The sequence below is a fragment of the Homo sapiens genome, chromosome 12 (assembly GCF_000001405.40).
Source record: "Homo sapiens chromosome 12, GRCh38.p14 Primary Assembly".
NCBI classification, from domain to species: Eukaryota; Metazoa; Chordata; class Mammalia; order Primates; family Hominidae; genus Homo; species Homo sapiens.
Window position 1 is genome coordinate 129,198,452 of NC_000012.12, and position 15,200 is coordinate 129,213,651.

Consider the following 15,200-nt stretch of genomic DNA (forward strand, 5'->3'; position numbering starts at 1 on the left):
TACATATAAACAATGGAATACTAGCCAGACATTAAAAAAACATTGTATCATTTTTGACAATATGCATGAAATTTGAAAACATTATGCTAAGTGAAATTCACAAGGCCCAGAAAGACAAATACTGCATGTTCTCATTTGTGGAATTTAAACTAAAACAATGGATGTCATCAAAGCACAGAGTAAAATGGTCACTACAGACGTTGAGGCTTTGGTACAAGGCTTCAGTTAGCCAGAAAGAATAAGTTATTTTTTAAAAATCTATCTCACAGTGTGGACAATATAGTTAACAATAGTATATTGTACATTTCAAAACGTGTCAAGAGAGTAAATTTCAACTGTCCTCACTACAAAAAATAAGTATCTGAAGTGAAGGATATGTTAATTAGTTTGATTTAATTATTTCACATTTTTTCATAAATCTTAACATCACTTTGTGCTCCATAAATATATATAATTATAAACTGTTAATTTATAATAAGATAAAAATTAAAACAGAAAATATGTGTTAAACTATAACTGATAAAAATATCTATTTCATGGGGTTGCTGTGAGGATTAAAGAAGCAAACGCTTACCTGCTATGAAGTAAGCATCCAATAAGTATTAAAACATCACAATTTCTATTCTCATTGCTATAACACGTCCATCTACCTTTTTTTTTTTTTTTTTTTTTTTTTGAAACAGGGTCTCGCTCTGTCATCCAGGATGGAATGCAGTGGTGCCATCATGGCTCACTGCAGCCTCGACTTCCCAGGCTCCAGCAATTCTCCTCCATCAGTGTCCTTAATAGCTAGGATAACAGGCATGCACCCAGCTAATTTTTGTATTTTTGGTAGAGATAGGGTTTCGCCATGTTGCTCAGGCTGGTCTCGAACTCCTGAGCTCATGTGATCCACCCATCTTGGCCTCCCAAATTGTTGGGATTACAGGTGTGAACCACCACGCTCAGCTAACTCTAATTACTTTTAATCTGCATCAGGAGTGAAATAATCCACTAACAATTCTAAAATCACACATTAGGTTTTAGAAACAGATTGACATAGCAGAAGAAGAACTTACAAGATGAGCCTACAGATGGGAACCAGAAATGTTGTTTTCTCTAAACTAATATATTTACTCCTGTATTATCCATTTTTAAACTGCTCTAAAGAAATACCTGAGACTGGGTAATTTATAATGAAAAAGAGGTTTAATGGACTCACAGTTCCACATGGCTGGGAGGTCTCACAATCACAGCAGAAGGTGTAGGAGGAGCAAAGGCATGTCTTACATGGTGGCAAGCAAGAGAGCTTGTGCAGGGGAACTGCCCTTTATAAAACCATCAGATCTCATGACACTTATTCACTATCATGAGAACAGCATGGGAAAGACCCGCCCCCACGTTTCAATTACCTCCCACTGGGTCCCTCGCATGACACATGGGGATTATGGGAGCAACAATTCAAGATAAGATTTGGGTGGGGACACAGCCAAACCATATCAACTCCTAATCCAGCAATAACAAAAATCCTAACGTTAGGAAGTCAACTTTAGGAAAGAATCACCACTATTTGCTGTCCAAATAGAATGCCGTGATTAAAAATCAATAATAATGCCAGGTGAGTATGCAAAGTTTATGTGGTACAGTTCATCTTTATCTTCCCCTAACTCTCCCTGCCATGAATCCACTTGGATCTCCACTTAATGGAGGGGGGACCAAGAGGGCCAATCCCTGTATCCCGCAGGTGGTCACTCCCACTCTGTAGCTACAGAGTCCTTTCCAATATTGAAGGATTACTATCAAAATGACCACCTTTTGCCACATGATGGATTGAAGAAAGTGTCTATTGGGAGGCCAGTCTAATCCATTACCCCTGCCGAATAAAAGAGCCTCAGAGATACTCCTTCACTAATCAAAAGTGCATCTCTTGTGTTAGTGCATCAAAGGTATCATGCTCATACATGGGGGATGCTATTGTTATGTGGCCAGTCTGCTCCCTGAGAACTCTTCCCTGCAGGTGACACAGGGAAAGTCTTCAAAGGCGGCAGCAGGGATCAGTGAGGCGGCGCAATCCCTGCAGCTTCTCCATTCCTGAGCTGAATATTTGAAGCCATTTGGCTAAACTCTTGGGGTGGGGACAAAAAAGCTGATCGGGAGTTATAGGATCTGCAGGTGGAGAAAAAAAGAAGGGACTATTTAGGAAACTGCCTCCTGGGGGCTGTCCCTGTGGCTGCGCAGGTTGTCGGGCGCCCAGCTGGATTGCAGAAAGAGAACTGCTGGGAGCCGGCTCTCCACCACTCTCCTCTCCTCAGGAACAGGCTGCTGGAAGAGGAGCCAGGCCATTCAGGCCCCAACACTGAAGCACTCCACCAGGGATGCTGAAAATAGCTGCAGAAGAGCTTCTCTGATTTTCCACTCGTCTCTTCCTCCCAGTTGTTTACTCAGCTTGTTAAGCGTTGTGCTCCCATCCCCGAAATTACACTCCTTCTCCTCACAGCAGTTTGCTGCACTCACAGAAAGATTCCACTTTGATCCACCTTAGGAGAATGTGTCAAGCTTTATACACCTGATTTCCACTGGTGTGTGTCTCTGGTGCAGAAGCAAGGGTGGATGTTGATGCTGTTGAAATGCTGTATAATAAAGCAGGTTCACCAAGAGCAGCTGTAATCAGGTAGGGCTACAGCCCCCTTTGATTTTTATCAGTGGACATTTCTGAAATATTTGGTGGATACTGGTTTATTCAGGACCTGTTAATGAACACTTGAGTCTGTAAGTTGCAACAACAAAAACAAAAACCTCAGCAAATTTTTCAGGAGTAATACTTGAGCCCACGTCAATCTTCCTCCTAGTGTGTGCAGTGTGGCTGGCTTTAGGAGAGAGTGGCTCTCCCACCAGCTGATCTGTGGGTTCTTACAATGTCCCCAACCCCGAGGCTATCCCACTCCTAAGTGGCTGCAGGGGACATGGGTTGCTTTTGCTGCAGAGAGTCCACTGCCCTTCTCTGTAGTGACAATACACAGGTTGGCCCTGGGGGACCCTACTCCCCAAACTCCTCATTGAGTTCATGTGCTTTGAGATGATTTAGGGCTTGGACAACCAGTATGTTTGGATCCCTGGGCTGCAGTGCTGGGCTCAAGGATAAGGTGACCTAAATAGGTCCCATAAGAACATATCTCAGGATTTATACAGGAATGTCCTAGAAGACAAATACTCTTTTCTATTGGATGTGAACCAGTTCTGAGGCATCCATCTTGCTCCCACAAGGACAGCTCTGTGAGAATGAAACTCATACAGAAGAAAGAGTGTCTATAAGGAAGAAAAAGAGAGAAAGATTGGGGGTAGGGGGAGAAAGAGAGAGAAGGAGGGAGGGAGAGGAAGAGAGGGGATGTTCCGGTGATATATTTTGGAGTTCTAAATAAAACACCCTAAGCTAGCGCCAGGCTGGACTTTTCAATCATGTGACAATTTTTTTTAACTTGTTGATGTAGGTGGCATTTCCCATTATTTCCAACCTCTGAGAATCACAGTGTATATTATTGCAAACATCTGAAATGCTTTCACTGGGGACCTGTTGCCTTCTTGAAAAAAAAAATAAAACAAAACGAGCATCCTTGGGAGGCAGAAGAGAGCATGGCTTGACGCAATTTACAATTCAACGGGAATGAGTTTTCAGTGGATTTCCTGAGAGGAGGTTTTGATGTGGCTGGGGAAGCCCACACCAGCCTGTTGGGCTTTTGGCTGAGGAAAGAAGAGAAAGCAAATAAAAATAAAAAGACTGGGGCCTTTAAAGGCCGACCTTCTCTGCTCAGAGGCTTTCCAGGGGCTGCACAGGTGGCTGTGACACATCTCTGAGAATCCCTTGGCTTTCTTTCTTAACAGCCTCCAAATGACACCAACACATCACACGTACCAGGTGACTCTTTGTCAACATCTGTGATTCACAGAGCACCACAATGACAACTGTATGAGCTGTGGGTTTTGATTTTTAAGTTGTGCATCGGGCTTTGAGGCTTATTGGTGGATGTAAAATAAATGCTGTGAGGTTTTTCATTTTTCGTTGCACCCTCTATATTTCCAAGGGTGGTTTCATGAGTCATTCTCAGAAACAAAGAGAGGAAAAACATTTCTTTCTCAAGAGTTCCTGCCCAAGTCTGAAGCCTGCATCTCATTGGCTCTGACTGGATAATGTGTCTATCCCTGAGCCAATGGCACGTCCAGAATTTGCCATGTTCTGATTGGCCACCCTGAATCACATGGCCACTCCTGGAGACTGGAGATGTGGCCACCTGCAGAAAGAACCGCCTCCTATTTCCCTTCCTCATGCCATTCCCTCTGTCAGCAGGGCATACTGGGTACAAATTCATCCTTCAGGTATTACACCTCCAGGGAAAACTTGAGTAATGCAGTTATGTTTTCCCTTCAGTGTTTAAACTACGTGAGGCAGCTTTAGGCTAAACGTTACACTAGGCACATAGTAGTTGCTCAAGAAATGTTTGCTGTCAAACATATTTAAGCAAATGTTTGCTGACAGCAAACATTTCTTAACCACCTGCTACATGCCTAGTGTTAAGTTTAGCCTAAAGCTGCCACATGTAGCTTAAGTTTGGCCCAAAGGTTTCTCCATGCCTACTGAACAGTAACCTAACTGCACGTTCAACCACACTGTACCTGCTTTTGTATCAATCGCTGAGTGTCAGCCAACTACAGGTAGCCAACACCGCAAACCATGTTCAAATACAGCAGATGCTGAACTGTAACTAACCCGGCTGCATCTGCACCTCACTCTGTTTTCTGTGGTCCACTTTCCTTTTTCTGTCTATAAATGTTATCTGACCACATGACAGCTCCAGAGTCACTCTGAACCTGTTCAGATTCTGGGGGTTCCCTAATTTGTGAATCATTATTTGCTCAATTAAACTCTGTTAAATTTAATTTGTTTAAGGTTTTTCTTTTAACACTAGTGTTGACTGACAGCCAGGAGGGCAATGCTTGCTAGAGCTTCTGGTCCAGTGGCCCTGCTTCTGTGGGAACTCAGCCAGTGGGTGCAGCCTCCTGTGGTCCCAGGAAGCATGTGGAGGGCAGGGCAGGCATTGTTACCCACCCCTGCCACTGGTAGCCAGGCAAGCCACTCCTGCTAGAGCTTCTAGCTCAATGGTCCTACTTCTGCCTAAATTTGCCAAGGGACACAGCCTCCTGTTGCTCTGGAAACATCTGGATGTCTGGGCAGGGAACTCCACCCTCTCTTGCCTCCCATAGCCAGACGTGTCACACCCAGAGAGCTTCCAACACAGCAGTCCTGTTTCTGCCTGAGCTCTAAGGACAGGCGGGCACAACCCCATATTTCCCCAGGGAGCATATGGGCAGCAGATTAGGACCAACCTGGTAAGTATACAGCTTGTCTGCCAATTGTGGCTCCTGCCTGAGGGGGCCTCATGGACCAGAATACTGAACAAAAGAAATATGGGCATGAAAACAGTAATCAGAGGGGGCTCCTCAGAGACCCAGGAGCAGACTAGAATTGAAGCCAGTCAACCGAACCCACCTTATGCCATAATCAAACCCCCTAGAACCTCAAAGAAGAAAAGAGCCAAAAAACCCATCCAAAGGACATCAACTTCATATACTGAAGAAATATCAGCCCACACAAATGAGAAAGAGCAAACACAAAAACTCTGGCAACTGAAAAAGCTAGAGTGCCTTTTTTCTTCTAAATGACTGCACTAGTTCCCCAGCAAGGGTTCTTAACAAGGTTGAAATGGCTGAAATGATATAAATAGAATTCAGAATATGGATAGAAACAAAGATCACAGAGATTCAAGAGAATATCAAACCCAATCTAAGGAAATTAAGAATCACAATAAAATGATAAAGGAACAAAGTAGCCATTATAAAAAAGAAGGAAGCTGATGTGATAGAGCTTAAAAACACACTACAAGAATTAAATAATGCAATTGCAAGTATTAAAAGCAGAATAGACCTAGCTGAAGAAATCTCAGAGCTTGAGGGCTGGCTGTCTGAAATAATTCAGTCAAACAAAAATAAAGGAAGAAAATGAAGAAGAACAAACAAAGCCTCTGAGGAAGGCTTATGGGATTATGTAAAGGGACCAAATCTACAACTCACTGGTATCCCTGAAAGAGACAGGAAGAAAGCAAGCAACTTGGAAAACATATTTCAGGATATCACCCATGAAAACTTCCCCAACTTTGCTAGATATGCCAACATTCAAATTCAGGAAATGTAGAGCACCCCTGTGAGATATCACACAAGAAGAACGTCCCCAAGACACAATCATCAGATTCTCCAAGGTCAAAATGAAAGGAAAAATGTTAAGGGCAGCTAGAGAGAAGGGGCAGGTCACCTACAAAGGGAACCCCACCAGGCTAACAGTGGACCTTTCAGCAGAAACCCTACATGCCAGAAGAGATTGAGGTCCTATATTCAACATTCATAAAGAAAAAAATTTCCAACCAAAAATTTCATATCCAAACTAAGCTTCATAAGTGAAGGAGAAATAAGCCCCTTTTTCAGGCAAGCAAGTGCTGAGAGAATTTGTTACTACCAGACCTGCCTGACAAGAGGTCCTGAAAGGAGCACTAAATATGGAAAGGAAAGACCATTGCCAGCCAATTTGAAAAAACACTTCCATACACAGAACAGTGACATTATAAAGCAACAACACAAACAAATCTATGGCTAACAACATGAAGACAGGATCAAATCTGCACATATCAATACTAACTTTAAATGTAAATGGGCTAAATGCCTCAATTAAAAGGCACAGAATAGCAAGCTGGATAAAGAAACAAGACTTAATGGTATGCTGTCTTTAAGAGGCCCATCTCACATGTAGTGACATCCATTGGCTCAAAATAAAGGGATGGAGAAAAATCTACCAAAGAAATGGAAAACAGAAAAAAAGCAAGAGTTACAATCCTAATTTCAGAAAAAAAAAAAAAAAACTGACTTTAAACCAACAAAGATAAAAAAAAGAAGGGCATTATATAGTACATGGTTCAATTCAATAAGACCTAATTATCCTAACTATACATGCATCCAATTCAGGGGCATCCAAATTCATAAAGCAAGTTCTTAGAGACCTAGGAAGAGACTTAGATCCCTATGCAATAATAGTGGGAAACTTCAACATCCCATTGACAGTATTAGACAAATCATTGAAGCAGAAAATTAACACAGATATTCAGGACCTGAACTCAACACTTCACCAAATGAACCTCATAGACATCTACAAAACTCTCCACCCCTAAACAATAGAATATACATTCTTCTCATCACCACGTGGAACATACTCCAAAATCAACCACATAATCAGACATAAAACAATCCTTAGCAAATTCAAAAAAAAAAATTGAAACCATACCAACCATACTCTCAGACCACAGCACAATGAAAACAGAAATAAATACAAAGAAAATCACTCAAAATCATAAAATTACATGGAAGTTAAACAACCTACTCCTGAATGACCTACCCCTTCCTTACACCACATACAAAATTAACTCAAGATGGATTAAATACTTAAATGTAAAACTCAAAACTATAGAAACCCTGGAAGATAACCTAAGAAATACCATTCTGGACACAGAACTTGGCAAAGATTTCATGAGGAAGATGCCAAAAGCAATTGCAACAAAAACAAAAATTGACAAACAGGATCTAATTAAAGTTAAGAGCATCTGCAGAGCAAAGGAAACTCAACAGAGTAAACAGACAACCTACATACAGAATGGAAAAAAATATTTGCAAACTTAGCATCTGACAAAGGTCTCATATCCCGCACCTGTAAGGAAAATAAACAATTTTACAAGCAAAAACCAACCCCACTGAAAAGTGAGCAAAGGACATGAACAGACATTTTTCAAAAGAAGACATATATATGGCCAATAAGCATATGAGAAAATGCTTAACATCACTAATCATTTGAGAAATGCAAATCAATACCACAATGAGATACCATCTCACACCAGTCAGATGGCCTATTATTAGAAAGTCAAAAAATAGCAGATGCTGGTGAGGTTGTGGAGAAAAGGGAATGCTGATACGGTGCTGGTGGGAATGCAAATTAGTTCAGCCACTATGGAAAGCAGTTTGGTGATTCCTCAAAGAGCTAAAAACAGAACTACCATTCAATCCAGCAATCCTATTATTGGGTACATACCCAAAGGAATATAAATCATTCTACCATAAAGATACATGCACGCGAATGTTCATTGCTACACTATTCACAATAGCAAAGACATGAAATTAACCTAAATGGCCATCAGTGCTAGACTGGATAAAGAAAATGTGGTACATATACACCATGGAATACTATGCAGCCATAAAAGAGAATGAGATCATGTCCTTTGCAGGGACATGGATGGAGCTAGAGGCCATTATCCTAACTAATACAGGAATAGAAAACCAAATACTCCATGTTCTTGCTTACAAGTGGGAGATCAACAAGGAGAACACATGGATACTAGGAGGAGAATAACACACACTGGGGTCTATGGAAGGCTGGAGGGTGGGAAGGGGAGAGGATCAGAGAAAAATACCTCTTGAGTACTGTGCTTATTACCTGGGTGATGAAACTATCTGTAATCAAAGCCCTGTGACACGCAGGTGACCTATTAATATATAACAAACCTGTACGTGTACCCCCAAACCTGAAATAAAAGTTAAAAACACACAAAAAGAAAAAAACAAACAAAAAACCCCCCACTACTGTTGTGATAAGAATAGAGCAGCAAACAAAGTGGACCCAAACAGCACCGCCCTCACGGAGCTTAAGTTCCAAGGAGGACAGTCAGAAGATGAATACAGCACCGCCCTCATGGAGTTTAGATTCCAATGAGGACAGTCAGACGATGAATACAGCACCGCCCTCACAGAGCTTAGGTTCCAACGAGGACAGTCAGAAGATGAATACAACAAACAAAAATATATAGTGTATCTGTGAATACATAAACGTATGCTATGTATGACATATACGCATATATGAATAGAAGTTCAGCAGGGATGGGGAAGGCAGTGCTGTGGGTGTCTGTGAAGATTTTGCTGACGCTGCTCAGAAAAGGCCTTGGGGAGAAGATGAGGCGAGGGAGCCGTACAGGCATCCAGGGAAAGAGAGTTAAAGGCAGAGGGAGGAGAGGGGATGCCTGTCCTGTTACAGGAGTGGCCGAGTCTCCAGTGTGGCCAGAGTGGAGGCAGCCAGAGGGGCTGTGCCTAGCGTGAGGCCAGCGTTACAGCAGGTATGGCTGCAAAGGTTTGATTCTGTCTCTGTAAATACTTTGGCTTTTACTGTGAGGAGGGGAAGCCAGTGAATTTTTTTTATATAAAAAAAGTATTGATCCATAATTAATGTACATATTTTGGGGTCCACGTGGCCATTTAATACATTCATAAAATTTGTGGAGATCAAATCAGTGTAACTGAGATAGCCTCCACCTAAGATATTTGTTGTTTCTTTATGCTAGGAATGTTAGTATTATTCTCTAGCTATTTTGAAATATGTAATAGATTATTGTAAACTGTCATCACCCAACTGATCTATCTAACATGAGGTCTTATTTCTTCTTTCAAACTGCACATCTGTGTCCACTCATCAGCCTGAGGGGCCGAGCAGAGGAGTGACATGGTCATATCGCCCGTGACCGCCCTGGCTGTAGCACTAAAGAGGGGTTATGGGAGAGGAGGTAAGGACAGGCCCTAGGTCACCAGCAAGGTGGTCAATGCTTTGAGGTGATTGTGTCTGGGATTGGGGTGGTGGCAGGACCCGAGGAGGGCTGGATCCTGGCTATCCTTGGAAGGCACTGCCAACAGGATTTGATGAAGGCTTGGGTGTGCAGAGAGGGGAGAAATGTAAGATGAGCCTAGATATTGGCTGGAGTCAGTGAAGGAAGTTGTCCTGTGCTGATGTGAAGAAGATTCTGGAATGAGTAGGTAGGAGTGCTGTATGATGTCATGTGTTCCGCTGCCCTGTTGCTTTCTGACATCTCTGCCTTCTCTCTGAAACCCATAAGGATGGACGTCCATCTCATTTATGTGGTCCTAGAGTCTTGAACAGTACCTAGCACTTAGTGGGGATTTGATTCGCATTTGTTGACTGCGTTTTAAGTGAGCAAAAATGCTCCCTGAAGGTTTGCTTCAGAGCAGAGTGGTTACACCAATTCCTGTCCGGGAATTGTCCTGTGCTCCAGCCATGGCTAGGACTCATATGGAGGGAGTCTCCCGGAGCCTCGTGAAGCCCTTCTCGCTGTCCCGGGCTTTTGTTGGCAGCCTCCTCCTTTGAGGAGGTGCCTGCTGCATCTGTCACTGCAGCCCTGTCTCTGGAGTGGGCGGAGGCAGCCTGGGGAACCCATTTATCTCCTGCAGGCTGGAAGTGTGCTATGAGGTTCCTGGCAGAGCAAGACTCCATCTCCCCAGCCTCCTCCATCCGTCTCCCAGGGTGCCTTTGTTTTGAATCATTTTTGATTTCAATTTAAGAAGAGAAAGAAGAGGCTGAGACGAAGGAAGGAGGGGTGAGCGCTGTTCATCCACATCCCTAGCTCATGTGGAATTTTGTGGGCTGGGCAGAGGAATGGAGAATGATTTCCTCTTCCTCCCTTGGCCAGTACTGTAAATCAAAGCTGGGAGTAGTTGTACACCTTATACCACCATTGATTTTACACGAATGCTGTGTGCTATAGAATCATCCCGGAGTGTGGCCGCATACCCATCCATCTAGGTTCTAGGGCTCCTTCCCTTCTTCTCCCCTGCCTGGGGTGGGTGGAGGGTAAGCGGGTCCCTGCCTCCCACGACAATCTCCCTGGGGATCTGGGAAGAGGCCAAGGGCATTCGGCGAACACAGAGTGTCAAGGGACAGCCTCCCAGACTCGGAGTCACCAGCCAGAGCACTTTTTCATTCTGTCCAATATTTGTGCCACGGAGAATGTCCTGATTTAAGTGGCAGGATAACCAGAATGGGATGGGAGGGATCCTGTGGGACCCAGAGGTCCCAGAGGTCCCAGAGGTCCCAAGCTGGTCCAGGAGCACAGAAGCTGACATGACAGCAGGTTTCTGCAGGGGCGGGGAGGTGTCAACTTGCCTTAATCACGTCTTCATCAGACGATCTACACTCCACAGACTCCAGCAGCTCTGTCACTGTGCCGTCGTCCTCCACGGAGACCACTTTCACCGGGACGGCCACCGTCTTCCCCGTGAGGATGGCTGTGTTCAGGATTTCTGCCTCCTGGAAGACCAAACACACCCTTCCATCACATCCCCTCCTGAGACGGCCCAGTCCCTGGGAGTATGCCGCCTGCCTTTCCTCAGCCTCCCTGCAAACAGCACTGGCCTCTTCTGCAGGCTCAGAAATCCTGGCAGTCCGCACCAGCTGGCTGACCGTGGCAGCCATGAGATAATGTTCTGTCCTCACCCAGATTTCCACAGGGCAACTATGATGGGGAAGGGGTGGAGGACAGAAAAGGTGGCGGAGGAAATTTATTACTAATATTGTGTTTGGCAAACACTTATGTGTCAGGCACCCTTGTAAGTGCTTTACAAATATCGGCTCGTCAATCCTCATAGCATCCTGATAAGACAAACATTCTTCTTCTTCCCAGTTTACAGATGGCACAGAGAGCTTTTGTCACTTGCCCAGGGTCACCCAGCTAGAAATTAATGAAGGCAGGATTTGAACCTGGGAAGTCCAGCTCCCGAGTCCATGCATCAGCTAACTCAAATAGGTCTAAACGTGGACATGACGACGGTAGCTTAAGCCGCCGAAGGATGGCCAGAGGGGCCTGGTGTTGTGAAAGAAGCTTGATGAGCAGCACCGCACCACCAGTGCGAGGTATGTGAGGGAGACAAAGGCAGGGAGAGAGCCCTCGCTCTCTGTGCTCTCTTGCTCTGGCTTGCTTTCACTCTGTTTCAATTTTCTAGGCTTTTATTGGGTCCTGGCCTCCAGACGTGTCTGGAATGTTGCTGTGGCTCCAACAGCACTCCCACATCCCCACTGATGCGACCCACGATGCACCACACACATCCACACTCACCCAAACATGCGTTTTGCTGTAAACCCTTCTTTCATCGAGCAGCTCAAGACAGGTGTCTTTAGGGATGTCCCGGCTTGCCCCAAGTATTTGCTTTCAGAATTAAGAATGTCCTGAACCTTTCCCCTTGGTAGCACCTAACAGTTGCTGTTTTACTTTTACTTATAGTTATTTAATCCCTTTATCTCTCTTCCAGACTCTAAGCTCCATGGGGCTGTATCTGCTTTCTGCTCACCAGCACCCAGCGCAGAGCTTAGCTACAACGAATGGTGTTAATGTTTGTCAAGTGCATAAATAGGACTCAACAGGGAAAGGACTGGGATTTACATCCTCACCTTCTTGCTCCCCAGCTCCTCACACTGTATGCATGAATCTCCTTTTTTCAGGCACACCTATGCCTCGGTGGTGTTTCCCAGACATCGAGCATCTCTGGATCTCATGACACCCTGCATCTCTCTCTCCAGCACACCCATGCTCATCCTCAGTGACTCCTCTAGAATTCTTGTGATTTTTTAACTGGTGGGGGACAGAGAGATCATAGGAGCCCATTTTTCAGATAGAGAAAACTGAGCCTCAAGACCCGGTAAGTGAATCTCATTCTTCTCTGCAGAGATTGCATTTTCTATCACAAAAACGTAGAAGTCCCAATATAACCCCACATCTCTGTATAATACAACTTCCAAGTCCTAGCTCACAATGTTCTTTGCTCAGTTTCAGCTCATTACATTCCAGTGGTGTCCCTAAGAGGTGTTTTATCAACATGCCACATTGCGTTTCTTCTGTTAACTATGAACGTATCTGTCTTTTCCTTGACACAATAACATCAAAAGATCTGGGTGGGTGCTAGTTGCTGGTTAGGGTGGATCTAAAACAATTGTCATTTTACTTTCACTCATGGTTATTCAATCGCTTTATTTTCCTTCTAAGACTGCGAGCTCAGTAGGGCTGTATCTATGTCATTTTGAGAGATGAGCTTGCAAAGATTCTTGTTACTTTGATTCTCATGTGAAATGTAAAATGCCTGTTAGTAGAATGCCAGCAGAAGGAATAGAAGTTTATCATCCTAAAATTACATAACTATTTTCATTATGTTAACTATTTCTTAGATAAGATCTTATTTGTCATTTATGGGATGAGATTTGTCTATAACCAGCTCACTGGGGTTAGGCTTTGGATGTAGCAATACATATATTATTCATTATTTTAATTCTAAAAGACAAGACTCCAATTTGGAATGCTCCTGAAGTTCAGAGACCATGTTTCAAACTGTTGGAATATGCATAGGCCTTCAAAGTCCCATTATCCATACACTTTTTCTCCTCTGTGGGTTCCCAGCCTGATTTTACTTTAATTCGAATAAAAACATGGCACAAACATGAAGGGGCAAAATCAGTATATGATGCTATTTCCTGCTGCCTCTAGGCAGGAAAAATTAGCTTTAATGGCAAAAATCACCATTACTTTTGCACCAACCTAACTTTTTTTTCTACTCTAAAGGGGGAGGATCAAAAGGAACAAGTGGTATTCTGGAAAAAAGTGGAACAATGCTGTTTAACTTGCTGGCCGAAACTGGCTCATCACAAAGGAGAGAGACAGACGAGGGAGCAGTGTGGCCACTTCTGACATCAGTCTCAGGGAAAACAGTTTCTCACATTCGTGGTAAAAACTGAAGAGCATCTCCACTCTAACGATAAAAATCAAAAGGCCTTTCATGTTTTTGCACATTCAGGTTAATATAATGAGAAATGACGCTGGGAATGACTGATGAGCAGCTGTAAGCCCATATGTCTGGGGTGTTGCCTTTTTCTCTGAATAGCATACGTGTTTCTGCCTACCAAGATCTCAGCGTGGCTGAGTGACTGAGCCTTCAGGCTTGGTATTTCCCTGCCTCCTCTGTGTATTTCCAATTCTTTGACGTCACGAATTTTCTGTTTTGGACAGCTTTGCCTTTTCCAGGAGGTGAATGGTACGGGGATGACTCACAGAAGTCTTCAGATAAGAGGAGGACAAAAGAGACCCTTGTTCAGTGGCAGAAGTACCTGTAAAGCCTTAGCTTTGCCTGAGATATGACCTATAACTGCTCTGATTTTTGGACCCCAGAAAACCCTTGAAAGCTCAGCTTCCTTATTGCTGCGTGGTCACCTTATCACAGCACTGCAGAGCCTAGGAAATAAAGGCACAGACTCTCTTTAGAAAACATATCTCCTTCCCGTCAGTCAATCATAATCCTTATTGTCACTTCATACACCCTTTCTGCTACTTGGGCATTATCTGTGTGCCAGTAAGGATCTCTGACAAAGCACTACAGAACTTTAGGCACTCCAGAGTCAAGGAGGAGGTAGAATAGCAGAGAATAGGCTGGATGTGGCACTGAGAAGGTATCACCATTAAAGTGAGGCTTCAGATATTTTTCCTGGGGGCTCACTGTCATCCATTATAGGGAAACAATAACAGCCCCTGTCTTGCTAGAGAAATAATGACCCATGTCTTAGTTTGAGCCAGCCTGGAAGTAGATCCTGGGACAAAGATTCAAGAGCAATTTATCTGGGACATTCAGGAAACTTCAATAGGAGAGTGTGCAAGTGACACGGGGAAAAGGAGGCTACTAACAAGTTGTGTAGATTAAACCAGTTATCACAGTGGGCACCTGGGGCTGATCCTGCAGGGGATGATGTATTTCACGACATATATTGTATATTCTGTGTGTGTGTCTTAGTTCATTTGTATTGCTATAAAGAAATACCAGGCTAGGTGCAGTGGCTCACACCTGCAATCCCAGCCCTTTGGGAGGCTGAGGCAGGTGGATCACTTGAACCCAGGAGTTCGAGACCAGCCTGGGCAATACAGTGAGACCCTGTCTCTACAAACAAATAGAAAAAAGTTTATCCAGGTGTGATGGTACATGCCTGTAGTCCCAACTACTTGAATGGCTAGGTGAAAGGACCACCTGAGCCCAGCGAGGTCAAGGCTGCAGTGAGTCGTGATTGTGCGACTGCACCACAGCCTGGGCAACAGAGCGAGGCCTTCTCTCAAAACAAACAAAACAAAACAAAACAAAACAAAAAAACCTAGAGAGGCTGGGTAATTTATAAGAATAAAAGGTTTGCTTGGTTCCTGATTCTGCTGGCTGAAAGATTGGGCATCTGGAGAAAGCCTTGTGGAGGAGGGCGAAGGGAGCAGGCATGT

The 15,200-nt window shown here is 43.8% G+C and overlaps 1 protein-coding gene and 1 long non-coding RNA gene across 2 annotated transcripts in view, besides 1 other annotated feature; one reads left to right on the top strand and one right to left on the bottom strand.

Annotated features, from left to right (window-relative positions):
- TMEM132D (transmembrane protein 132D) overlaps nucleotides 1–15,200 on the bottom strand; it is an 832,300-nt gene that overhangs the window by 126,726 nt on the left and 690,374 nt on the right. Inside the window, exon 5 of the mRNA NM_133448.3 lies at nucleotides 11,069–11,212. Within this exon, the coding sequence (NP_597705.2) occupies nucleotides 11,069–11,212 (144 nt within the window). The remainder of the gene's footprint in view (nucleotides 1–11,068; nucleotides 11,213–15,200) is intronic.
- TMEM132D-AS2 (TMEM132D antisense RNA 2) lies at nucleotides 10,150–14,211 on the top strand. Its single transcript, NR_110058.1, has 5 exons — nucleotides 10,150–10,502; nucleotides 11,107–11,272; nucleotides 11,586–11,815; nucleotides 12,479–12,597; nucleotides 13,512–14,211. It is a non-coding gene; the product is annotated as a TMEM132D antisense RNA 2 (long non-coding RNA).
- Nucleotides 11,220–12,419: an enhancer, noted in NCBI's record as "BRD4-independent group 4 enhancer chr12:129694216-129695415 (GRCh37/hg19 assembly coordinates)". NCBI's record gives its function as "activates an origin of replication core promoter dependent on BRD2, P300/CBP, MED14 and CDK7 cofactors, and independent of BRD4, by STARR-seq in HCT116 cells {active_cell/tissue: HCT116}" and the evidence as "EXISTENCE:reporter gene assay evidence [ECO:0000049][PMID:35650434]".